Source organism: Homo sapiens, chromosome 9, assembly GCF_000001405.40.
Source record: "Homo sapiens chromosome 9, GRCh38.p14 Primary Assembly".
Taxonomy (NCBI): Eukaryota; Metazoa; Chordata; class Mammalia; order Primates; family Hominidae; genus Homo; species Homo sapiens.
The window spans coordinates 130,036,737-130,061,450 of record NC_000009.12 but is presented as its reverse complement, the minus strand read 5'-3'; the positions used below and the strand labels follow the sequence as shown (position 1 = coordinate 130,061,450).

Sequence of the window (24,714 nt, the reverse complement as noted above, 5' to 3'; positions counted from 1 at the left end):
TCCCACTCAGGGACTTTGCACTTCCTGTTCCTCTGCCTGTGATATTCTTCCCTAGACCCTCAAATGCCTGGCTCATTCATTAAGTCCACTCACATATTAACTCTTCAGAGTCTCTCTCCACAGTAATTTCCAATTCCATTACTCTTGGTTCCAATACTGTTTTATTTTCTCATCAATTTATCCCATTTTTAAATTACTTGTGCATTCAGGTGTTTAGAAGCTAGCTGTCCATTACCACTAGAATGAATACTCCACAAAGGTCGGGGCTTAGTCCCGCTCACTGCCTCAGCCTGTGTCTAGAAGTGCCCACCCGGTATATAAAAGACACCTGAAGAGTATTTGTTGAATGAGTAAGAGACAGAAGGCATGTGTTGCGAAGTCATCCAGTAAGCTTAATGTCACTCATTTAAGTCAATGAATGTATATTGGCAGATTTTAAGTCAAAATAAAGTTTCAGGTGCATACTCCTTTTGTGTGATGTTCTGCTTTAACTTATCTTTTCATCCAACATCTTCTAGTCTAGATCCCATCAGCGAGGAAGGCTTCTAATATGACTAGCCCAGAAGTTACACTGCACTCGACAGCAGTGAGGACTGGCTATTCCCAAGTTCTGCTCTAAACTACATGCCTTGCTAAGCTGCTGACACAAAGTCTAGAGTATTTGAGTTATAATTTGTGGATAATTATCATAGAAGTATCAAACCCAAGAAATGCCCAAATTTCTGAGGCTTTAGCAAAGCACTTCCTGTCCACTTGCTCATTTGCAGCATCTACTTGAAAGCCAGAATGATCAGTCATCAAAATATTGTGTTTTTAACACAATATAAAAATCATATTTAGACAATTTTTGATGTAAAACTCAGATTAGCCGAGCACAGTGGCAAGCATCTGTAGTCTTAGCTACTTTGGAGGCTGAAACGGGAAGATGGCTTGAGCCCAGGAGTTGGAGGCTATCGTGCACTATGTTTGCACTGGTGAATAGCCACTGTACTCCAGCCAGGGCAACACAATGAGACCTTATCTCAAAAAAAAAAAAAAAAAAAAAAAACTCGGATTATCATTTTTATTCCATTAATAAGAAATGGATAGGCTGGGCGCGGTGCCTCACACCTGTAATCCCAGCACTTCGGGAGGCCAAAGTGGGCAGAACATCTGAGGTCAGGAGTTTGAGACCAGCCCGGTCAACAGGGCAAAACCCCATCTCTAATAAAAATACAAAAATTAGCTGGGCGTAGTGGTGGGTGCCTGTAATCCCAGCTACTCAGGAGGCTGAGGCAGGAGAATTGCTTGAACCTGGGAGGCGGAGGTTGCAATGAGCCGAGATCGCGCCACTGCACTCCAGCCTGGGGGACAGGATGAGACTCCGTGCGCCCCCCAACCTCCCCCCGAAATAAAACTTATTTACTGATCACGCTGGGCCTGGTGGCTCATGCCTGTAATCCTATCACTTTGGGAGGCCAAGGCGGGTAAATCACCTGAGGTCAGGAGTTCGAGACCAGACTGACCAATATGGTGAAACTCCGTCTCTACTAAAAATACAAAAAATTGGCCAGGTGTGGTGGCAGGTGCCTGTAATCCCAACTACTCAGGAGGTCGAGGCAGGAGAATCACTTGAACCCGGGAGGCAGAGGTTGCAGTGAGCCGAGATTATACCATGGCATTCCAGCTTGGGCAACAAGAACAAACTCCATCTCAAAAAAAAAAAAAAAAAAAAAAAGACGTATTAACTGATCACAGTATGAGGATGTGACTTAGATCCTGATTTTTCAAAACTTTTTCAATCCATTTATGACCAATGAAAATTTGAATCTGATCTGACATATGATACTAAGGATTTTTTTGTTATAATAGCATTGTAGCCATGTTCTTAAAAGAGCTCTTATTTTTTACAGGTAATATCAAAATATTTAAGAATGAAATGATGCAATGCCTTTGATTTGCTTTATTTATTTATTTTTTTTTGAGATGGGAGTCTCACTCTATCGCACAGGCTTGAGTGCAGTGGCACAATCTCAGCTCATAGCAACCTCCACCTCCTGCGTTACAGTGATTCTCCTGCCTCAGCCTCCCCAGTAGCTTGGATTGCAGGCGCCCGCCACCGCACTCGGCTAATTTTTGTATTTTTAGTAGAGACAGGGTTTTACCATGTTGGCTAGGCTGGTCTCGAACTCCTGACCTCAGGTGATCCACCTGCCTTGGCCTCCCAAAGGCCATTACAGGCATGAGCTACCACACCCAGCCAATATGCTTTAAAATAATATAGGAAGACAATGACAAATGCTGATAACATTGTGAAGAAAGAGAACTCTCATAAATTGCTAGTGGGATGTAAAATGGTAGAGCCACTTTGGAAAATAGTTTGGCAGTTTCTTAAAAAGTTAAACATAAATCTATCATATGACCCAGCAATTCTACTCCACTCCTGGATATCATCCAAGAGAAATGAAAACATATGGCCCCACAAAGCCTTGCAATGTGAACGTTTATGGCACCATCATTCATAATGGCCAAACAGTGGAAACAACCCAAACATCCATCGACTGGTGAACTGCTAAGCAAAAGAAGATATATCCACACGCTGGAAGACCATTCAACAGTAAAAAGGAATGAATTACTGACACATGGCACAAAATGAACGAAGCTCAAAAAAGAAAGAAAGAAAGATGGGCACAAAAGCCTACCTATCGGCCGGGCGCAGTGGCTCACACCTGTGATCCCAGAACTTTGGGAGGCCGAGGCGGGCGGACTGCTTGAGGCCAGGAGTTCGAGACAAGCCTTGCCGCCATGGCAAAACCCTGTCTCTACTAAAAATACAAAAATTAGCTGAGCGTGGTGGCAGGTGCCTGTAATCTCAGCTACTCGGGAGGCTGAGGCAGGAGAATCGCCTGAACCTGGGAGGTAGAGGTTGCAGTGAGCCGAGATAACGCCATTGCGCTCCAGCCTAGGCAACAGTCCGAGACTCCGTCTAAAAAAAAAAAAAGAAAAAAAGCCTACTCATCCTGTGATTCCACTTACATTAAACATCCAGAAAGGGTAGGTTTATAGAGACAGAAAGTAGATTAGTGGCTGCCTGGGACTAGTGGTGGGAATGGGAATTGATTCTAAACCAACACAAGGGATCTTATGGGGTGACAGAAACGTTCTGTGGCTAGATTGTGGTCATAGCTGTACAACTCGGTAAACTTACTAACAATCATTGCATTATACAGTTAAAATGGGTGATCTTATGGTATGTAAATTATACCTCAATAAAGTTGTTCTTAAAAGGCAAGGAGTATTTCCTGCTGACAGGTCTTTAAAAAAATAAACAAAAATAATAAATAGCCAGGAGCGGTGGCTCACGCCTGTAATCCCAGCACTTTGGGAGGCCGAGGCAGGTGGATCACCTGAGGTTAGGAGTTCAAGACTAGCCTGATCAATATGGCAAAACCCCATCTCTACTAAAAATACAAAAATTAGCCAGGCGTGGTGGCGCATGCCTATAATCCCAGCTACTTGGGAGGTTGAGGCAGGAGATCGCTTGAACCGGGAGGCGGAGGTTGCTGTAAGCTGAGATCGCGCCATTGCTTTCCAGCCTGGGTGCCAGAGCAAAACTCTGTCTCAAAAAAAAAAAATAATAATAATAAATAAATAAAAAGGCAAGGAATATAGGGAAAAGTCAAAAGAGATGGACTGTGAGAAGACTGGGAAAGCCAGAAGAATGGTGGAAAATGTAGCATGGAGTAAGACAATAAAAATATAAGAGGACTCATTTCTAATTTTAAAAATAATAAAAAATAAGAACCAGAAATTGATGTATGTGGGATGAGGCAGAATCAGCCATGTGTTGATGGTTATTGAGGGTGACAGGCACATGGGAGTTCATTATGCTATTCTATCTGCTTTAGTATATTGGAAATTCTCCACAATAAAAAGGTTGTTTTGCTTTGTCTTTTTTTTTTTTTTTTTTAAGAAATAGGGTCTCACTCTGTCCCCCAGGCTGGAGCCATTATAGCTCACTACAGCTTCTGACTCCTAGGCTCAAGGGATCCTGCCACCTCAGCCTCCCTGGTAGCTGGGACTATAGGTATGCACCACCACATCTGGCTAATTTTTGTTGCTGTTGTTGAGATGGGGTCTTGCTCTGTCGCCCAGGCTAGAGTGTAGTGTCGCCATCATAGCTCACCGCAGCCTCCAACTCTTGACCTCAAACGAGCTTCCCTAAGTGCTGAGATTACAGGTGTGAGCTACCAGGCGCAGCCAGGTTTTAAGAGATCAACGCATACTCCTGGTACTCAGTGACCTCTTCATGTTATCCTTGCCATTATGGGTCTCTAATCTGATCAAGTACCCTATTTCACTCAGTCTCAAGCAAAACAGACAATCTAAAGTTGCTGCTCTGACAGGCTCTCTTCAAATGATTTCCATTTCCTTGGGCAAGAACTCAGAACAAGCTTGTCCAGGATGCATGCGGCCCAGGATGGCTTTGAATGCGGCCCAACACAAATTTGTGAACTTTCTTTTTTTTTTTTTTTTTTTTTTTTTTTGAGAAGGAGTCTCGCTCTGTCACCCAGGCTGGAATGCAATGGCGTGATCTTGGCTCACTGCAAGCTCCGACTCCCGGGTTCATGCCATTCTCCTGCCTCAGCCTCCCGAGTAGCTGAGACCACCGGCACCTGCCACCACGCCTGGCTAATTTTTTGTATTTTTAGTAGAGACGGGGTTTCACCTTGTTAGCCAGGATGGTCTCAATCTCCTGACCCTGTGATCCGCCCATCTCGGCCTCCCAAAGTGCTGGGATTACAGGCGTGAGCCACTGCGCCCAGCCAAATTTGTGAACTTTCTTAAAACATTATGAGATTTTTTTGCAATTTTTTAAAGCTTATCAGCTATGGTTACTGTTAGTCTATTTTAGGTGTGACCCAAAACAACTTTTCATCTTCCAATGTGGCCCTGGGAAGCCAAAAGATTGGACACCCCTGACTTCGGATGTTTATTTTATTTTATTTATTTATTTATTTTGAGACGGAGTCTTGCTCTGTCGCCCAGGCTGGAGTACAGGGGCTCAATCTTGGCTCACTGCAACTTCCTACTCCTGGGTCCAAGCGATTCTCCTGCCTCAGCCCCGAGTAGCTGGGATTACAGGTACCTGCCACCACGCCTGGCTAATTTTTGTATTTTTAGTAGAGATGTGATTTCACAATGTTGGCCAGGCTGGTCTCAAACTCCTGACCTCAAGTGATCCACCCACCTCAGCCTCTGAAAGTGCTGGGATTACAGGCGTGAGCCACCGTGCCCGGCCAAGTTTTGTCTACATTTCTACATGCACTTTTCTGGAGAGAGGTTCTATAGCTCTCAACAGATTCTCAAAGAGTCAAAATTCACTTGCCCCACCCCCACCCCTGTGATTGAACCATTTTAATCAGGATAATTTTTACCTACAAACAACAAAAGTTGTTACCAAAAAGTAAGGTTGTATGGATCCAGTCAGGCTTGCATTTATTTATTTATTTATTTATTTATTTGAGACAGAGTATAGTTCTTTCGCCCCGACTGGAGTGCAGTGGCACAATGATCTCTGCTCACTGCAATCTCAGCCTCCCGGGTTCAAGCAATTATCCTGTCTCAGCCTCCCAAGTAGCTGGGACTACAGGCATGTGCCACCATGCCCGTCTAATATTTGTATTTTTAGTAGAGAGGGGTTTTGCCATGTTGGCCAGGCTGGTCTCGAACTCCTGACCTCAGGTGATCCGCCCACCTCGGCCTCCCAAAGTGCTAGGATTATAGGTGTGAGCCACCGTGCCCAGTCAAGCCAGGCTTTTAATTTCATTCTGTATTCTTTAAATTCTACATTAACAAAATACAATGCTTCATAGTTTGCTAAAACAATGTGTTTTTACAAGACAAACTTTCTACAGTTCCACTTCTTTTTTTTTTTTTTTTTGAGACGGAGTCTCGCGCTGTTGCCCAGGCTGGAGTGCAGTGGCGGGATCTTGGCTCACTGCAAGCTCCGCCTCCCGGGTTCACGCCATTCTCCTGCCTCAGTCTCCCGAGTAGCTGGGACTACAAGCGCCTCCCAGGTTCACGCCATTCTCCTGCCTTAGCCTCCCGAGTAGCTGGGACTGCAGGCGCCTGCCACCACGCCTGGCTAATTTTTTTTTTATTTTTAGTAGAGATAGGGTTTCACCGTGCTAGCCAGGATGGTCTCGATCTCCTCACCTCGTGATCTGCCTGCCTCGGCCTCCCAAAGTGCTAGGATTACAGGCGTGAGCCACCGCGCCCCGCCTACAGTTCCACTTCTTAGAAGACTGTATGGTATGAAAATAATGTACAAGAGTTTGGGTCATAACAATTTACTTTTCTATGTCTCTAATTTTGTTTATATGTTTTGAGAAAGGGTCTTGCTCTGTTCCTCAGGCTGGAATGCAATGAGTAATCACGGCTCACTGCAGTCTCAACCTCCTAGGCTCAAGTGATCCTCCAGCCTCAGCCTCCCCAGAAGCTGCAGGCGTTTGCCACCACACCTGGTTAATTTTTAATTTTTTGTAGAGACAGGTTTGGGGAGGGGGTCCTTAGCACGTTGACTAGGCTGGTCTCGAACTCCTGGGCTCAAACAATCCTCCTGCATAGGCCTCCCAGTGTTGGGATTACAGGCATGAGCCACAGCACCTGGACAATTTCCCAGATATAGTAAACTGCTGAACCACCTTAGGGTGCGTTTCAGCCTTAGAGGTCTTTTCTCTGCTAGTTACAAAGCAAGATCCAGAGTATCATTCTAGGTTTATCAAAAATCTCTCTTCCCTAGACAATGGCTGGATAGAGGAAGAAAAAGCAGGCCCTTTGATTAGAGACACACCTTAATGCTGGCTTTACATTCTCAGTCACGTGTTTTAAGCAAGATTTGAAATTCCTTCTCTAGAGTCTCGCTCCAGAGAGCGCCCTAAACCGAAATGGGAAACTGAGGCTAAGGTTCCAAGTACCTTCAAACCGCCGGTACAGTACAAGGGCACAGAAGAGCGGAGACCGCGGACAAGGAAAGCCAGCATAAAAGCTGGAGGGGAGAAAGAAGAAAGGCGATCGGGCTGCCCTGAGTGAGGAATTCAGGGAAGCCAGCAGGGATTTAAGAGCAGCCTCCCGAGTCCGTGGGGGCAACGCCACAGTTCAGCCCCTTCCCCTCCCTCAGCTCGAGTCTTCCCGCCCCGTGCCGGTCAGCCCGAAGACCCCAGCGCCGCCCAGACCCGCCTTCCCCACAGACCCCGCCACCTGTCAGTGAAAGGCCGCAGCCAGGGGCAAAGAGGTGGTCCAGTGGCTCAGAGGTCCCCAATGGGCCAAAGTTGCCCTAAAACCCGGGGAGTGGCCTCGGCCTCCGCCCCCCGGCCCGGCCTTGCCAAGCTTTACCTTGAGTGCCAGGTGATGGACGCGGCCCAGGCCAGGCTCGGCCAGCAACTGCAGCAAACCCAGCATTGGGAGCAGCCGGAGGCCCGCGGCCAGCCTAGGACCGCGGGAGGCGGGGGAGCCGACGGGCGCCAGAGCGGCCATGTTTGTTCCAGCATCACCAGCCGCTTCCTCTCCCGCCCACGTCCGGGGTGAAAGGGCGCAGCCGCCGGAAGGGCCCGGGGAGCGGGGCTCGGCGGCTAGCTCCGCTGACCCTGTGGTCGTTTTCCTGGAGATTGCGACCTAGGAAGTCGTCGAGGAGCCTGTGCTGCCCACCTCGGGGCCCTTCGATCGGCCGCTCCTGTGCAGACTTTCAGTTAGAGATGAAGCCAACCTATTGGCGGTTGCCATAACAACGGTGGCCGAACCAGACCAGCCCGGGCCGCACCTCCGCCTCGCTGAGCTTTGGAAGCGACCTTGGGCTCCGGGGACCCCTGATCTCAGGGTCGGGGGATAAGCTGTGTCAGCCGCACGGTGTCGGGCCACTGATTGAACTGATTTCACTGAGCGTTGACTCGGAGGAAAATATCTAAAAATTCCCGGCTCGCCGTAGGGGTCCTGTGGTTTTCTAGGCGCTTCACACTCAAATACAAGCGAAATGGTTGCAATAATACGATTGATTGAGCCCTTATGAGGCAATTTGTTAGGCCTTTTGTTGTATTTAATTTTTGGAACAATTTGATGAGCTAGGAGGTACGTATTATCATTATTCCTACTTTACAGGTAAGCAAACTGAGGCTCTGAGAAATAAGTCATTTGCTCCAGGTTGAGCTGGGAATCACACGGAAGCTCTTAACTCCTGTGTTCTGTTGCCTCATGCTATTTCATCCAACCCCAAGTCTGGGTCTTAACATTTTTCTCTTAATTCTGTATGGAAACTTTCTTTGCTTCTTTCAGAAATTATAGGAACTTCTTTTTTTTGAGACGGAGTCTAGCTCTTGTCACCCAGGCTGGAGTGCAATGGCACGATCTCAGCTCACTGCAACCTCCGCCTTCTGGGTTCAAGCGATTCTCCTGCCTCAGCCTCTGGAGTAACTAGAATTACAGGCCTGCGCCACCACGCCCGGCTAATTTTTGTATTTTTAGTAGACACGGGGTTTCTCCCATGTTGGCCAGGCTGGTCTCGAACTCCTGACCTCAAGTTATCCTCCCGCCTCGGCCTCCCAAAGTGCTGGGATTACAGGCGTGAGTCACTGCGCCCAACCTGCTTTGGAGTACTTTTTATCTTTTAAAGTTAAGTGGCATCTTTGAAAATCTCTGGTTTTAAATTTGAATATAATACTGTACTAAAAACGAAATGAGGCCTGGCAGGGTGGTGATTCGCGCCTGAATCCCAGCACTTTGGAACGCCGAGGCGGGCGGATCACTTGAAAGTCAGTTGTTCGGGACCAGCCTGGGCAACATGGCAAAACCTCGTCTCTACTAAAAATACAAAAATTAGCGGGGCATCACGGCCGCGCGCCTGTAGTCCCAGCTACTGGGGAGGCTGAGGCAGGAGAAGCACTTGAACCTGGGAGGCAGAGGTTTCAGTAAGCCAAGATCATGCCACTGCACTCCAGCCTGGGTGACAGAGTGAGACTCTGTCTCAATAAAAAAAAAATCAGGTAAGAATCTTAATCCCATTTTATAATACAATAGTGATGAAACATTAAAATAGTTTTAAATAGGAGACTTTTGTCTTAGTTTCTGGACAACAGTTTTATAAGGGCTTAAAACTGGGTTCATAGCATTCCTTGCTTCTCTATACTTGGGTATTATCATGTGACCTACATAGGGTCATACCAGTGCTGTCTGTCCAGGGGTTTAAGAGGATATCTTCTTCTTTCACATATTTGAAAGCTGTATTGTGCCAGTCATTATTTTGGAATTGAGAGGAATAAGAATGAGGGAAAACTGACTACAAAGACATTGTTGAGCATTTTCTCTACAGTTACTTCTTAAATTCTAGAAAACTGCTGCCTTGACAATTACATTTAGCCATGTGATTTCATAGTTTCAAGAAAAGATTATTTGCATAATCATGATGCTGTAACTGGAAACAAACAGGCTGAGTAACAGAACAAGTTATGCCTGCTTCTCCTGGCAACATTTTCAAAGGGACATTACACTTTAAGGTATTGACTGAAAAAGCCTGCAGGGGCTGGAAAGACTGATCTCCTAAGCTTGGCTTTTAGCCTTACTCTCTTAGTCAAGTACATTTTATTTTTCTATTTTCTCTCCTTTTTTTTTTGAGACAGAGACACTGTTGCCCAGGACTGAGTGCAGTGGTGTGACATCTGTTCACTGTAGTCTCCACCTCCCAGGTTCAAGGGATTCTCATGCCTCAGCCTCCCTAGCTGGGACCACAGGTGTGCGCCAGTATGCTCAGCTAATTTTTGTATTTTTGCTAGAGATGGGGTTTCACCATGTTGGCCAGGCTGGTCTTGAACTCCTGGCCTCAAGTGATCTGCTCACCTCGGCTTACCAAATTGCTGGATTACAGGCGTAAGCCACCCTGCCTGGACTATTTTCTCTAACTTTTCAGGATCAGCTTAAGGTTGCTACTAGAATGTGTAGTGTTGAATCTAGTGCTATTATTATTAAATAATTATTTGATATCGGTTTGGACATTTTCAGAACTCTTTTAAGTAATTAATGTGTTAATAGTCTCCAGTTTAAGAAAGTATAATTGCCATTTGTTTTTCTTATCAAAAGACTTGATAGGCCTGGCTGGTGTCTCATGCCTGTAATCCCAGCACTTTGGGAGGCCAAGGCTGGTGGATAACTTGAGCCCAGGAGTTTGCCACCAGCCTGGGCAACATGGTGAAACACCTTCTCTACAAAAAATACAAAAATTAGGCCAGGGGCGGTGGCTCAGGCCTGTAATCTCAGCACTTTGGGAGGCTGAGGTCAGTGGATCACCTGAGGCCAGGAGTCTGAGACCAGCCTAGCTAACATGGCAAAACCCCATCTCTACTAAAAATACAAAAATTAGCCAGGCATGGTGGCGCATGCCTGTAATCCCAGCTACTCAGGAGGCTGAGACAGGAGAATCGCTTGAACTTGGGAAGCGGAGGTTACAGTGAGCCCAGATTGTACCATTGCACTCCAGCCTGTGTGACAGAGCGAGATTCTGTCTCAAAAAAAAAAAAAATTAGCGAGCATGATTGCACCAATTCACTCCAGCCTGTGCGACAGAGCAAGACTCTGTCTCAAAAACAAAAACAAAAAAACAAAAAAAAAACACAAAAATTAGCGGGCATGGTGACACGCACCTGTAGTCCCAGCTACTCAGGAGGCAGAGAGGTGGTAGGATTGCTTGAGCCCAGGAGTCAACACTGGAGTAAGCCATGACACTTTTATCCAGCTTGGGTGACAGAGCAAGACCCTGTCAAATAAAAAAAAAAAAAGAGTTGATTGATATTGCAAACCAAAAGCCTCTGTTAAGACAGTATAGGAAACTAGTGGTCAAATTGGGGCCTAGCAATACATTCAGAAGTCAAATGCTACTTTTCATTCTTTGGCTTGAAACACCATTTCTTCCAGGATTGCAGCTAAAGTTTTCATGCATTTCTTGGGGTGTCGGGAATGCCTCCAAGTGCATCTTTTTGTAGAAAGTGATCATGGAAAAGCCAGGCTCTGACACACTTTGAGTCCTGTGGATTGGAGAGAAACTTCAAAATTACTCCTCAACCTGACGACCCTAGTGTATAACTTGCTCAGCCACAGGACAGGCAGTCTTTCTTGATTTTATGTACATCTTTACAGGGGAATTGGATTATTCGTTGTAAAAATTCATTGCAGTTTTAGCATTTCACTCACCATGGAGTTCCTGGTTTTATCCTACTCCACTTTTTCCAGTTGATTGCTTTCTTGAGTCCCTAGTAAGTAGTTCGAATGCAAAAGAAGTTGGAAATTTTAAGCTAAAAACAAGTAATTTTGAAGAAGAAAAAATCCTGAGAATTTCATTAGAAGTAGTTCTTCACCAGTAGACAACCAATCAACTGTAAGTTCAGGCAGGCGGTCCTGCTGCATCAGAAATGTTTAAAGGCCTGTATTCCCAGCTACTGGGGAAGATGGTTTGAATCCAGGAATTCAAGGCTGCAGTGAGCTATGATCATGCCACTGCACTCCAGTCTGGGCAACAGAGCAAGACCTCTCTAAAAACAAAAACAAAACACAAAACACACACAAAAAAAGAAAATGCTGAAAGGATTGCTTTATTTTCTACAATAAGTAAAAATCCTCCAGAAAACAGGAGGAAAGGAAAGGGAACTGATACTTGTGTGTATATTATGTGCTAAACATTTTATACGTATTCTTTCTTTTAATTTTTATTTTTATTTTTATTTTTTTTTGAGACAGAGTCTTACTTTGTTTCCCGGGCTGGAGTGCGGTGGTGCAATCACGGCTCACTGCAGCTTCCAACTCCCAGGCTCAAGCGATCCTACTGCCTCAAGCCCCCAAGTAGCTAAGCACAACCGTGCCGGGCTAATTTTTGTATTTTTTTGTGGAGACGGTTTCGCCATGTTGCCCAGGCTGGTCTAAATCTCCTGGGCTCAAACAGTCCTCCAACCTTCACCTCCCAAAGTGCTGGGATTATAGGCATAAGCCACCTTTCTTTCAACCTTTACAATAACCTTTGAAGTAGCATTATTTCTATTTTATTTTTTGATTTTTGAGACAGGGTCTCGCTCTCAGGAGTGCAGTGGCATGATCAAGGCTCACTGCAGCCTCAATTTACCAGGCTCAAGCAATCGTCCCACCTCAGCCTCCCGGGTAGCTGGGATTACAGTTGTGCACCACTGTGCTTGGCAAATTTTTTTATTTTTTGTGGACACCAGGTTTTTCCATGTTGCTCAAACTGGTCTTGAATGCCTGGTCTCAAGCGATCTGCCTGGCTTGGCCTCCCAAAGTGTTGGGATTACAGGCATGAGCCACTGTGCATGGCCATATTTACATTTTAAAGAAGAGGAAACTGGCCGGGAGTGGTGGCTCATGCCTGTAATCCCAGCACTTTGGGAGGCCGAGGCGGGCGGATCACGAGGTCAGGAGATGAGACCATCCTGGCTAACACGGTGAAACCCCGTCTCTACTAAAAATACAAAATACTAGCCAGGCATGGTGGCGGGCGCCTGTAGTCCCAGCTACTCGGGAGGCTGAGGCAGGAGAATGGCTTGAACCCAGGAGGCGGAGCTTGCAGTGAGCGGAGATGGCGCCACTGCACTCCAGCCTGGGCGACAGAGCCAGACTCTTATCTCAAAAAAAAAAGAGGAAACTGGGCCGGGCGCGGTGGCTCACGCCTGTAATCCCAGCACTTTGGGAGGACGAGGCGGGTGGATCACGAGGTCAGGAGATCGAGACCATCCTGGCTAACATGGTGAAACCCCGTCTCTACTAAATGTACAAAAAATTAGCCGGGCGTGATGGCGGGCGCCTGTAGTCCCAGCTACTTGGGAGGCTGAGGCAGGAGAATGATGTGAACCCTGGAGACGGAGCTTGCAGTGAGCTGAGATCGCGCCACTGCACTGCGACAGAGCGAGACTCCGTCTCAAAAAAAAAAAAAAGGAAACTGAGGCTTAGAGAAGGAAAGTAATTCAGCCAAAGCTCTCTATAGCTGTCTGGACAGAACTATACAAATCTGGCTAACACCAAAGACTGTACTCAACCCCAGTTCCTTCATTTCAGACTAATGACAACCTATGAGATCCCTGTCTTTTTTTTTTTTTTTTTTTTTTTTTTTTGAGATGGAGTCTTGCTCTGTCGCCAGGCTGGAGTGAAGTGGCGCGATCGCGGCTCACTACAACCTCTGCCTCCTGGGTTCAAGCGATTCTCCTGCCTCAGCCTTCTGAGTAGCTGGGATTACAGGCACACCACCACACCTAATTTTTTTGTATTTTTAGTAGACATGGGTTTTTGCCATGTTGCCCAGGCTGGTCTTGAACTCATGGGCTCAAGCGATCCGCCTGCCTCGGCCTCCTAAAGTGTTGGGATTACAGGCGTGAGCCACTGCGTCTGGCCAAGATCCCTGTCTTCTCAATGAGTAAACTGAAGCTCAGATAATGTAAGTAACTTGCAGAAGGCCACACAACTAATAAGTAGTGGAACACTGGGATCCCAATTTAACAATTTCAAAACCCTATCTGCTTTAAAATCTCATATCTATCTACAGCTATATAAATATCTGTCCACCTAAGATCCCGAATTAGATGTTTATTAGTTGCAAGCAGGGTTAGAATTGCCAAAAAGCCCTAATACAATTGTTTGCCTCTAACCACACAGCCATCTATACAGGGTCTCTGTTCTGTTTGACCGGATACCTTATTTCGTTGCTAATACTGTCCATGTGATCAGATTATTCAGTGGAACATGTTTGAGTCCCCCACTGAGAGTAGGAAAAAAAAAAACATAAACTTACAGGGTTTTTTGTTTTTCTTTTTGTTTTCGAGATGGAGTCTCGCTCTGTTGCCCAGGCTAGAGTGCAGTGGTGCGATCTTGGATCACCACAACCTCCACCTCCCAGGTTCACGCGATTCTCCTGCCATAGCCTCCCGAGTAGCTGGGACTACAGGCGTGCGCCACCATGCCCAGCTAATTTTTGTATTTTTAGTAGAGACAGAGTTTCACTATGTCGGCCAGGCTGGTCTTGAACTCCTGACCTCATGATCCATCCTCCTCGGCCTCCCAAAGTGCTGGGATTACAGGTGTGAACCACTGCGCCCAGCTGTTTTGTTTTTTACTTAATAATTCACATAGGGGACTTTTGTGACCAAACGTGTTGGGATTTCTTCCCACCACCAACCAAGTAATTAATTTTGTAGTGGACATCAGCTGAGTGTCCTTTAATTTAGTGTTCTTTTAATTTTTATTTTTTTTTAGAGACTGGGTCTTGCTGTCACCCTGGCCATAGTCTAATGGTGCAATCACGGCCCACTGCAGCCTCGCACTTCACCTGCCTCAGCCACCATATACCTGGAGATAGTGTCAGATATCACAAATTGAGGGCTTGGTCCTCAAGACTGCCCCCCACCCCAAGTAGGTGTCAATCTTAAGTTTTAGGTTATGTGATCTGTCTTTTTTGACGAACTGTTTATAAATCAGAAATCTCAAGTCCTCCTTTTTGGGTTTAATTTGTTACAGTGCCTCACAGAACCTAGGGAAACATGTTTATTATAAAGGATATAGATGAAGAGATATATGGAGTACGGGGGAAGGAGAGTGGAACTTCTGTGCCCTCTCTGGGCATGCCACCCTCTAGGAACTTTTTTTTTTTTTTTTTTTTTGAGATAAAGTCTCACTCTGTTGCCGGAGTACAGTGGCTGGAGTGTAGTGGCGCGATCTTAGCTCACCGCACCCTCCGCCTCCTGGGTTCAAGCGATTCTCTTGCCTCAGTCTCCCAAGCAGCTGGGATTACAGGCACCCATGACCACACTGGGCTAATTTTTTTTTTGGTGTTTTTTTTTTTTTTTTTTTTTTTTGTATTTTTAGTAGAGACAGGGCTTTCACTATGTTGGCTAGGCTGGTCTCAAACTCCTGACCTCGGATGATCTGCCTGCCTCTGCCTCCCAAAGTGCTGGGATTACAGGCGTGAGCCACCACGTCCGGCCAACTCTCTAGGGACTTTTATGTGTTTAGCTATCTGGAAGTTCTCAGAACTTTGTTTTTTGGAGTTTTAATAGAGGCTTTATTTTATGTAGTCATGATTGATTAAGCTATTGACCATTACTGAACAACTTAACTTTCAGCGCCTCTCCCCAGTCCCCGGAGGTTGGAGTGACAGTGTGGGTGCAGATAAAAGTCCCACACCTCTAATCTTGTCTTGGTCTTTATGGTGACCAGTCCCATCTTGAGGTACTAATACTTAGGGACTGTCAGCCATCAGTCATCTCATTAGTATATAAAAAGACATCATTTTGGGGTTTTTAAGGATTTTAGGAGCTATACTTCAGGAAACAAGGTTGACGACAAAATATATATTTTGTAATATCACACCAAGATCATAATTTTGTAAATCAGTGTTCCCTAGATTTTACTGAGAGGTGAAACCAGTATCTGCAACCCAGATTAACCCCCTAGATAATATCAGCGTTTACATAGAGTTTAGAGTACCCCTGGTGAAAACTGATTCCTAAGTAGGTCAGGTCACAGTAGTTTGTTAATGGGGATACTTCCTTGTCTTAGAATCACTTCCTCCTGCTCTGAAGGGAAACTGAAATGGATTTAGTTCTTCCTAAAAAATGCTGTGCTATATTTTAGCCTTTTTTCTGCTGGCTTATTTCATTTTATCTCATGGCTTCATGATCATTGGTGTCTCTCTCCTTTATTTTTTGAAGATTCTGACACTTTCAAGCATTTTCCAGTTACTGCCAAAGCTTAATGAAGTTAAAGATATTTGCAGTGTTGTATAATTAACTCACATCCATAGAGTTCTGCGGCAGCTTTTAATGGGTTCCTTCCTATAACTAACAATCTCCTGCTTACTCGTCTTAAAAAGTTTCATCTTCATGTGGTCTCTTTTTTTCTTCTGCTGTCCCTTCCTCTTCCTCTTTCTCCTCTTTAAAGCAGCAGGTTGTTTTACTTCTTGATTAGAGTATTTTCACAAGTGGTCACTGTTTTTGAGAAGTCTCCAATAACTTGGTCAAGATTAGATCATTGTATTTGACTAAAAAGTCAAGCCCTGGCAGGAAGGTGATTACTGAGGCAATGTCTTGTTAGATAAACCTGCATTGCATGTACCGTTTCCAAATTTTAGCAGACTAAACTGTGCAGCATTGTTTGAATTTCCCCCTCCAACTCACTCTGGCTATTAATCTGCCTTAGGAGATAGGTAGCTGGCCGTTCTCATTGTTATATATCTAGCAGTCTCTGGAGGAAAGAGAATTCAGACCTGGTAACTGAGAGCAAAATATTTATACAGACACAAGAATGGGGGTGGGCAGGAAGGGAGGGTTGTAACTGAAAAAAGGCAGACCAAAACAGTTTTGACAACTTAAATTTATTGTAACTGCCCAACAAAGGAAGTAGAGTTGGAGGTTTATCTGCAAGAGGTTTTTTTTTGTTTTGTTTTTTGTTTAGTAGCTCCACCTCTTAATTTATTATTATTATTCATTTTATTTTATTTTTTGAGACAGTCTCGCTCTGTCACCCAGGCTGGAGTGCAGTGGCACAATCTTGGCTCACTCCAACTTCTGCCTCCCGGGTTCAAGCGATTCTCTTGCCTCAGCCTCCTGAGTAGCTGGGATTACAGGCGCCCTGTCACCACGCCCAGCTAACTTTTGTGTTTTTAGTAGAGACGGGGTTTCTCCATGTTGGCCAGGCTGCTCTCAAACTCCTGACCTCAGATGATCCACTCACTTCTGCCTCCCAAAGTGTTGGGATTACAGGCGTGAGCCACCATGCCCGGCTTTAATTCATTATTGTTAATATTTTTGAGACAGGGTCTTGCTCTGTTGCTCAAGCTGGAGGGCAATGGCACCATCATGGCTCACTGCAACTTCAACCTTCTAGGCTCAAGCGATCCTCCTGTCTCAGTCTCCCAAGTAGCTGGGACCACAGGTGCATGCCACCATGCCCAGCTAACTTTTTTTTTTTTCTTTTTGTAGAGACAGGGTCTTGCGATGTTGCCCAGGCTGGTCTCAAATTCCTGGCCTCCAGCCATCCTCCCACCTGGGCCTCCTGATGTGCTGGGATTACAGGCGTGAGCCACCAGACCCGGGTTAGCTCCACCTTTTAATGGAGGAGAATGATAAGCAGGTTGAAAATGGTGGGGTGGGATTGGAGAAATGCATCATCGTAAAATATTTTTTAACTGGGGGCCCATGTTGGGAGTCGCACGGTTTCTCAGAAAAGGATCCAGTAGTAGCATTAACCGAGGGAGAAAGATAAGCTGTGGGGAAAGGGCTAGTGATTCAGGAGTTGGAATTCCAAACATTTTCCATAGCTTGTCAGGAACATTTGTGCAGACCTTTGGATATATAGAGAGGGAGTCCGTCTGCTGATAAAATGAGCGCTGGGTTTACCAACCTTCGGCCTTGGCCCACCCCTGATCCTCACCGCCGGGCAGTGAGATGGACACGTTATTTGCCTCCATTTGGTGGACTGCGCTCTGCGCTTCCAGAGGTGGAGCAATTGTCCGCCTCCGCCCGGCCAGCACGTGCGGGAGGCTGGATTTGAACCAAACAAGTTATCTGTGTACCCCACGCCTTTGCTTTTACCCACTAGGCGGTAACGTGATTTCACGCCTGAGAGTTTCTTGGCTGAACAAGTTGGAAATCACTGGTTTCAGAGATTGGAAATCACTGGGTGCACGCCCCTGGATTCTTTCCCTAGCCACTCGAGGCCGTCGCGCTTGCCTCGACGTCTCTATTCGCACAGCGCGCAGTTACCACCGCCCCACTCCCACCGCGCCAGCCTGCGGGACTCTCGGGCTTCCCTCGGGCGGTGGGAAAAGAGCCTCCCGGGCTGACTCTGCTCGGCGCGCATGGCTGCCAGGGGAAAGTATTGTCCTTAAATCCAGAGCGGCGATACGCGCAGGGGAGCGATCTCAGACCGCGGCGGAGCATCGGTGATCCCAGGGCCTGCCGCGTTCCAAGGCAAGCGCTAGTACTGCGAGCAGACAGTGGTCACTAAGAAGTCATTACCAGATTGGCAGGGGGAGTCCTAGGGATCCGGGTCCCGCCGTCCCTCACACCTCCCTCCGCGTCCTTCCGGACCCCAGGGCGACGCGGACCCGGCCGGGGGAGCCCGGGGGAGGGGGCCGGGCCGGGGTGGGGCGGGCGCGCGTGCGCGAGCTGTCAGACCGGCCCCGCCCCTCCCCTCCCGCCCCTCCCCCGCTCTCCGGGTGTAGGGCGGGCGGGCGCTGCGGCGGCCGCGGCTGCTGCTTCCTCGGGCCATTTTGCTGTGGAGCGGCGGGGAGGAGGAGCCGCCGAGGAGACCCCGGGCGAGGAGCTGCGAGCCGGAGGAGGCCGCGCGGACTCCGGGCTTTCCGCCGTCGCGGGGATCTCGGGGGGCAAAGGGATCGCCGGGGAGGGGGACCAGAGAGCCGCGCCCGCCGCGCGGAGCGCCCCTTCGCGTCCCCTGCACCATGAGCTGGGGCACCGAGCTCTGGGTGAGTGAGGGGCTGGGCCCGCGGGCAGATGCGGGGCGCGCGCTGCGTTTCCCCGCGGCCTGGGGAGGGGGCGCGGGCCGCGCTGCTGGGCGGAGGCGAGGGCGCGCTGGTCGGGGTCCTCGCGGCCTGGGGAGGAGGCGGGGTTCCAATGCCCCTCGTCCGCCTTGGCCCGAGCAGGAGGTGCGGGCCGGCTTGTCCTTCGGAGGCGAGGGGAGTTGGTGCGGGTCCCCGGCGGCCTGAGGAACGGCGCGGGCGGGCCTCCCTGTCCCCGGCGCCCCGGAGCGGGCCGTGTGTGTCGGGCCGAGCCCTAATCCCCCGGGGCGAGCCGCGGATGCCCGGGGAGGGCCGGGACCGGGCGTGGGGGCGTGGAGGCCCCGGCTGCGCGGCGCTGCGTTGGGTCTCGGGGCGCCCCGGCCGCGAGTTCTGTCCTGGCTCCGCGGAGGCGCTGGCGGATCGGGCACTTCCCCGGGAGCGGGGCGGCCGGGGCGAGCGCCGGGGGTCGGGTTTTGGGGTGCTGGGGCGAGAGTGCGGTCTTCGCTCTGGAGGCGAGGACTTCTGGCCCGTGGCGGCTCCGGGCGCACTTGTTCTTTCGGGGTAGCTCAATCCTGAGTGGGATGTGGGCACTGCGACGTCTGGTCTGGAGGGGAAAGTGGGAGTTAGGGAGAGATCTTACGTGATCTACCTCAGGAAGAGGCGTTCGCGGGGTCAATGATCTTTAACGGTTGCTCGGAGAATAGTTTCCAGTGGGGAAAGTTGGCGGTGAGGGGCGCCTTGCGGGGATGCTTGGCCGGGGGATGCGCACGGTAAACGGGCAGCCCTCAGGGCTGAGGGCCGTCCCCGGAAAGGCGAGGGGCTGGCTGTGGATGGAGCTCTTTTCCTGCCGTCCCCGGATTCCTGGGGAAATCACTGGGCAGGGGATGGGCAGTGCGGCGGCCCGGGAAGGAGCAGACGAAATCTCAGTTACTGCACTGAAATGCCCTCAAGATGAGCCATTTCCCAGGATGAACTCTAAAGTGCCTGAACTACCTTTTGGAATTCTATTTGCAAAGGGTGTGGAGGAGAAAGTGTAGGGTGGTGTTGCTATCTGAGATGAGGCCAAGAAATCTCATATCAAAATAAAACAAGGTTAGAGCAATTACAGAAACAGAGCACATCCTCCCTTGTTTTTTGTTTTGTTTTCTTTTGCTTTAATTGTTTTTACATAACCATTTGTTAGGTACAGAAGCAGCTACGGTTGTTATTACCAAAATCCTGAGGGCAATAGCTCCCTTAAATTAAGATAATTCATTTTATAAACATCTTCTGCCTAAAAGGGATTCATGACAAAATTTCCGCTGATGTTTACAAGTATCCATTTTGAAAATAAAATAGTTTAAAATATTTGCACACACCAGTTTAGGCAAAATCTATGACTTTGAGTACCGTATTGAAGTTTCTTTCCTCTTCTAATCCTTCCACTCCCTTTAGCTCTCTTTAGCTTATCTGGGGTGGGGAAGCAAATCAGAAGTAATCTTTGTCAAGACAGTAGAAATTGTGGCACAATTTTTTTTTCACTTGTTCAGACAGGTGGATGGAATTATGGAGGGAAAATGTACAATATATTTCTGAGTGAAATAGGGACCGAACACAATACCTTGGTGGACAGTTCAGTGATGTTGGTGAATGGGATAGAATATAATTCCAAAGAGAGGCAGTGGCTATGAGCAAAACTGCTAAAACAGCGGCAATTGCTTGCATTATTCTGTACATTTCTTTTTGAGGGTGCAGAAGTGGGAAGGAAGGCAGGGTTAGGAGTGATTGAAAATAAATGAGAGAGGCCGGGCGCAGTGGCTCAGGCCTATATTGCCAGCACCTTGGGAGGCTGAGTCGGGAGGATCTTTTGGGCCCAGGAGTTCAAGAACAGCTTGGGGAATATCTGGAGAGGCCTCCTCTTAAAAAAAAAAAAAAGAAAAGAAAAAAGAAAAAAGAAAAAAATAATAAATGGGAACTGGAATATATACAAATATTAATGATATGAAATCTTATATTTGCTTCACAATAATTTGGGTTGTTAGTAGATGGGAGATAGTGAGACAGAGTTGGCCATTATTGAAGCCAAATGCTGAGTACAGAAGTATTCATTACACTATTCTTTCTAGTATATATATTTGACATTTTCTACAATAAAAATAATTGGAAAATAGTTTTAAAGGAGAAGGATGTGAACTATTTGTAATTTTTTCACTTGACAATTTTATGAGGAAGAATGAATCAGTTAACAGTTCTATATATGCAAGTGTATGGCAATGAGGAGTTTTTAAAAAGACATTCTTTTTTTTTTTTTTTCTGAGACGGAGTCTTGCTCTGTTGCCTGCCCAGGCTGGCGTGCAGTGGCGTGATCTCGGCTCACTGCAGCCTCTGCCTCCCAGGTTCAAACGATTCTCCTGCCTCAGCCTCCCAAGTAGCTGGGACTACACGCGCCTGCCACCATGCCCAGCTAATTTTTTTGTGTATTTAGTAGAGACGGGGTTTCGCCGTGTTGGCCAGGCTGGTCTCAAACTCCTGATGTCAGGTAATCCGCCTGCCTCAGCCTCCCAAAGTGCTGGGATCGCAGGCGTGAGCCACCACGCTTGACGTTAAAAAAGACATTCTTATGAGTACCAGCATTTGCCTTTGAGTAGCTTACAGTTTAATATAGGAAAAGGAATGAACACATGATTGTGCTACTAAGAGAAATGCAAAATCTAAGTTTTCAGGTGAAATGCAAAGATGTATAAGGCTTAGTAGCTTTTGAGATTTAAAAAAACTAGAATAATGAAGGATTATGAAAAGTAAACCCCAGTTTCTCCGGTGGTCAGAGACTTGGTGATGTGCGGTACATTGGGTAGCCCAGCGGAGGGCAGTGATTAAGGGTTTTCCTTGAATGGTGGCTTTGGAATCATGCACATGTATAATGAGATAATGATGGGGCGCTCAAGCCAAACTTGGCAGAATTATTCTTCTAGATGGAGAAAGAGCTATGGTTTGGGTGGCCATGAATTATTTGTAACAGGTGGTTGCAGCTTTCAGGGACCTTCACAAATACTATCAGATTTTACATACATTTTAGGACTTCAGGTTAAAATCAATATAGGCTTTTAGAAACTACAGGTTTCTAATGTGCATTTTACACTGAAGACCTGCTCCTAAGCCACATCCTGCTTTGTAGAGGGAGTAAAACCTTTCTCTTCCTCTTTCTTTTTTACTTTTTCTTTAACCCCTCCATAGAAATAAACTTTCTTTTTTTTTTTTTTTTTGAGACAAAGCTTCGCTCTTGTTGCCCAGGCTGGAGTGCACTGTCACGATCTTGGCTCACTGCAACTTTCACTTCCCAGGTTCTAGTGATTCTCTTGCCTTAGCCTCCTGAGTAGCTGGGACTACAGGTGTGCATTATCACACCTGGCTAATTTTTTCTATTTTTAGTAGAGATGGGGTTTCACCATGTTGGCCAGGCTGGTCTCGAACTCCTGACCTCAAGTGATCTGCCCGCCTCGGCCTCCCAAAGTGCTGGGATTACAGGCGCGAGCTACCTCGCCCAGGCTTACATGGCCATTTTGAAGTGATTGGGTTCTAATAAAATAGTTTACAACTCTTCATAACATAGCTCTTCATAACATTGCCTTTTAATCAATTTTCAAAATTTTTATTGAACAACTATGGTGTGCACAAGACACCAGTCTGAATCTGTTGTAAGTTACATTATATACATTGAAAGATATCTACGTGGAAGCATAGAAAGTAGGTTTTACCTCTAGCTTGTAACATCAGAGTCAAAAGAAAAATGTTTGTATGTAAAATTAACCAAAATACATTTACTCAAGACTTGTTAAAAAGGCAGTGTTAGTAAGGTAAATATGTTCACTGACTTGTTGAAGTTGTGGCTGGTTGTTGGAGAAATGGCAAAGCAAGAGTTGCTTACATTTGAATGTTTTTTTTTTCTTGCCTACTTACTGAGGGAAGTGACAGGTTACTGAAGTGTTAGTTCAGCTTTTTATTAGCTTGCTTATTAGTGTGAAGTATGAATAAATCCATTGGAAAATTAAGCCTTCCTCGTAATTATTCTCTTTGCAGCTAACAAATTATTCAGTGACAGAACCTGGTTTTGCTGCCTCCTAGTATCCTCTCTGTCTTTATTTATTTGCTCTGGTGCTAATGAGAAATGAAGTATGTACAAGAAAGAGAACAGAGAAACCTGAATAATGCATATTGGTTAGCATAGTAAGAAGCCACATGTGGGCTGGGCGCGGTGGGTGGCTGACGCCTGTAATCCCAGAACTTTGGGAGGCCAAGGCGGGCAGATCACGACATCAGGAGTTTGAGACCAGCCGGACCAAGATGGTGAAACCCCATCTCTACTAAAAATACAAAAATTAGCCGGGCGTGGTGGTCCACGCAGGTAATCCCAGCTACTCGGGAGGCTGAGGCGGAGAATCGCTTGAACCCGGGAGGCGGAGGTTGCAGTGAGCCGAGATGGCGCCATTGCACTCCGCCCTGGGCGACAGAGCGACTCTGTCTCAAAAAAAAAAAAAAAAAAGAGCCACCTGTGTTGATTGTATGTCTTTTTTTTTTTTTTTTGAGACGGAGTCTCACTCTGTCGCCCAGGCTGGAGTGCAGTGGGTCGCACGATCTCTGCTCACTGCAAGCTCCGCCTCCCGGGTTGACGCCATTCTCCAGCCTCAGCCTCCGGAGTAGCTGGGACTACAGGCGCCCGCCACCACGCCCGGCTAATTTTTTTGTATTTTTAGTAGAGACAGGGTTTCACTGTGTTAGCCAGGATGGTCTCGATTTCCTGACCTCGTGATCTGCCCACGTCGGCCTCCCAAAGTGCTGGGATTACAGGCGTGAGCCACCGCGCCCGGCCGACTGTATGTAATTTTTTTTACCTGTGATTTTTAGAACCATGCCAGGCATATAATATACATTCATCTGTTGAATATGTTGACCCTGATCGTGGTGTGCACTTTCAAGAGGCAGCCGTTTGAGGATTGTCTACCAACTGTACTGGGAACAATGCCTGACTCTGTGTAGGAGTTCAATAAATATTTATTGGATAAATGAATAAATCCCTTTTTTTCCTTTTGTTTTAACATTTGCTTTTTAAAAATAATGGGAAGATAATTATAACACCTTTCTGCACTTCGGCAGTTGTAAAATATATATATAATTTTAGGTATCTTTTTGGAAAATAGACTATTTTTTAGAGCAGTTTCGGTTCATAGCAAAATTGAGAAGGTACAGAGATTTTCCATATCCTTTCTGCCCCCAAATACACACAGTCTAAGTACCTTTTTTGCCTTTAAAGTAGGGTTTGAAAAATTATCCCTTCTCTGTTGTTCATTCTACTTAGGCATGATATGTGTACATATCTTTATATAAGAACACTTTATAGTGTGTTGAATTTTTTTCCCTAGTGTGTCGAAATTTTAAACTAGTTTTTTAATCTTAAAGTAACAAATTATTAACAGTTCCAGGTATTGGATAATTATTACCTCTTCTTACTGCCCTTGAATGCTAAATTGGAGAACCCTATTAACAATCGTCCCTAGCTCTTCTACTGCTCTTTTTTCTTTTTTCTTTTTCGAGATGGAGTTTTGCTCAGTCACCCAGGCTGGCGTGCAGTGGCGCGATCTCAGCTCACTGCAACTTCTGCCTCCCAGGTTCAAGTGATTCTCATGCCTCAGCCTCCTGAGTAGCTGCAGGCCCCCACCACCATGCCCTGCCAATTTTTGTATTTTTCATACTAGAGATGGGGTTTCACCACGTTGACCAGGCTGGTCTCAAACTCCTGACCTCAAGTGATCTGCCTGCCTCTGCCTTCCAAAGTGCTGGGATTACAGGTGTGAGCCACCATGCCTGGCCTCTACTGCTCCTTTTTCTTTTTTTTTTTTTGAGATGGAGTCTCGCTGGGTTGCCCAGGCTGGAGTGCAGTGGCGTGATTTCGGCTCACTGCAAGCTCGGCCTCCCAGGTTCACACCATTCTCCCGCCTCAGCCTCCCGAGTAGCTGGGACTACAGGCGCCTGCCACCGCGCCCGGCTAATTTTTTGTATTTTTAGTAGAGATGGGGTTTCACCTTGTTAGCCAGGATGGTCTCGATCTCCTGACCTTGTGATCCGCCTGCCTCGGCCTCCCAAAGTGTTGGGATTACAGGCGTGAGCCACTGCGCCCGGCCTACTGCTCCTTTTTCTTAACCCTTCAG

General features: G+C 46.9%; 2 protein-coding genes across 44 annotated transcripts in view, besides 6 other annotated features; one reads left to right on the top strand and one right to left on the bottom strand.

The window, feature by feature from the left end:
- GPR107 (G protein-coupled receptor 107) overlaps positions 1–7,545 on the bottom strand; it is an 86,259-nt gene extending 78,714 nt beyond the window's left edge. For all 6 annotated transcript variants that reach the window (XR_007061336.1, NM_001136557.2, NM_001136558.2 and 3 more), the window contains exon 1: positions 7,378–7,545. Coding sequence is in view for 4 of the 6 variants with exons in the window: in NM_001136557.2 (NP_001130029.1) it covers positions 7,378–7,518 (141 nt within the window). In the remaining 2 variants the exon portion in view is untranslated. The remainder of the gene's footprint in view (positions 1–7,377) is intronic.
- Positions 7,248–7,557: a silencer, noted in NCBI's record as "silent region_20398". NCBI's record gives its function as "represses an Ori minimal core promoter by ATAC-STARR-seq in GM12878 lymphoblastoid cells {active_cell/tissue: GM12878}" and the evidence as "EXISTENCE:reporter gene assay evidence [ECO:0000049][PMID:35858748]".
- Positions 7,572–24,714, top strand: part of FNBP1 (formin binding protein 1) — a 166,693-nt gene continuing 149,550 nt past the window's right edge. For 35 of the 38 annotated variants that reach the window (NM_001439054.1, NM_001439053.1, NM_001439050.1 and 32 more), the window contains exon 1: positions 18,262–18,499. In NM_001439054.1, coding sequence (NP_001425983.1) covers positions 18,476–18,499 — 24 coding nt within the window. In that variant the 5' untranslated portion in view covers positions 18,262–18,475. Of the gene's footprint in view, positions 8,107–18,261; positions 18,500–24,714 lie in introns of those variants that run through there. The other 3 variants (NM_001439055.1, NM_001439056.1, XM_017014492.3) reach the window with 1 other exon arrangement.
- Positions 12,097–12,597: an enhancer, noted in NCBI's record as "H3K4me1 hESC enhancer chr9:132811133-132811633 (GRCh37/hg19 assembly coordinates)". NCBI's record gives its function as "activates a minimal SCP1, AML or CMV promoter by ChIP-STARR-seq in naive H9 embryonic stem cells {active_cell/tissue: H9 hESC(naive)}" and the evidence as "EXISTENCE:reporter gene assay evidence [ECO:0000049][PMID:30033119]".
- Positions 18,000–18,559: a silencer, noted in NCBI's record as "silent region_20397". NCBI's record gives its function as "represses an Ori minimal core promoter by ATAC-STARR-seq in GM12878 lymphoblastoid cells {active_cell/tissue: GM12878}" and the evidence as "EXISTENCE:reporter gene assay evidence [ECO:0000049][PMID:35858748]".
- Positions 18,740–18,899: a silencer, noted in NCBI's record as "silent region_20396". NCBI's record gives its function as "represses an Ori minimal core promoter by ATAC-STARR-seq in GM12878 lymphoblastoid cells {active_cell/tissue: GM12878}" and the evidence as "EXISTENCE:reporter gene assay evidence [ECO:0000049][PMID:35858748]".
- Positions 20,943–20,992: a silencer, noted in NCBI's record as "silent region_20395". NCBI's record gives its function as "represses an Ori minimal core promoter by ATAC-STARR-seq in GM12878 lymphoblastoid cells {active_cell/tissue: GM12878}" and the evidence as "EXISTENCE:reporter gene assay evidence [ECO:0000049][PMID:35858748]".
- Positions 21,903–22,022: an enhancer, noted in NCBI's record as "active region_29148". NCBI's record gives its function as "activates an Ori minimal core promoter by ATAC-STARR-seq in GM12878 lymphoblastoid cells {active_cell/tissue: GM12878}" and the evidence as "EXISTENCE:reporter gene assay evidence [ECO:0000049][PMID:35858748]".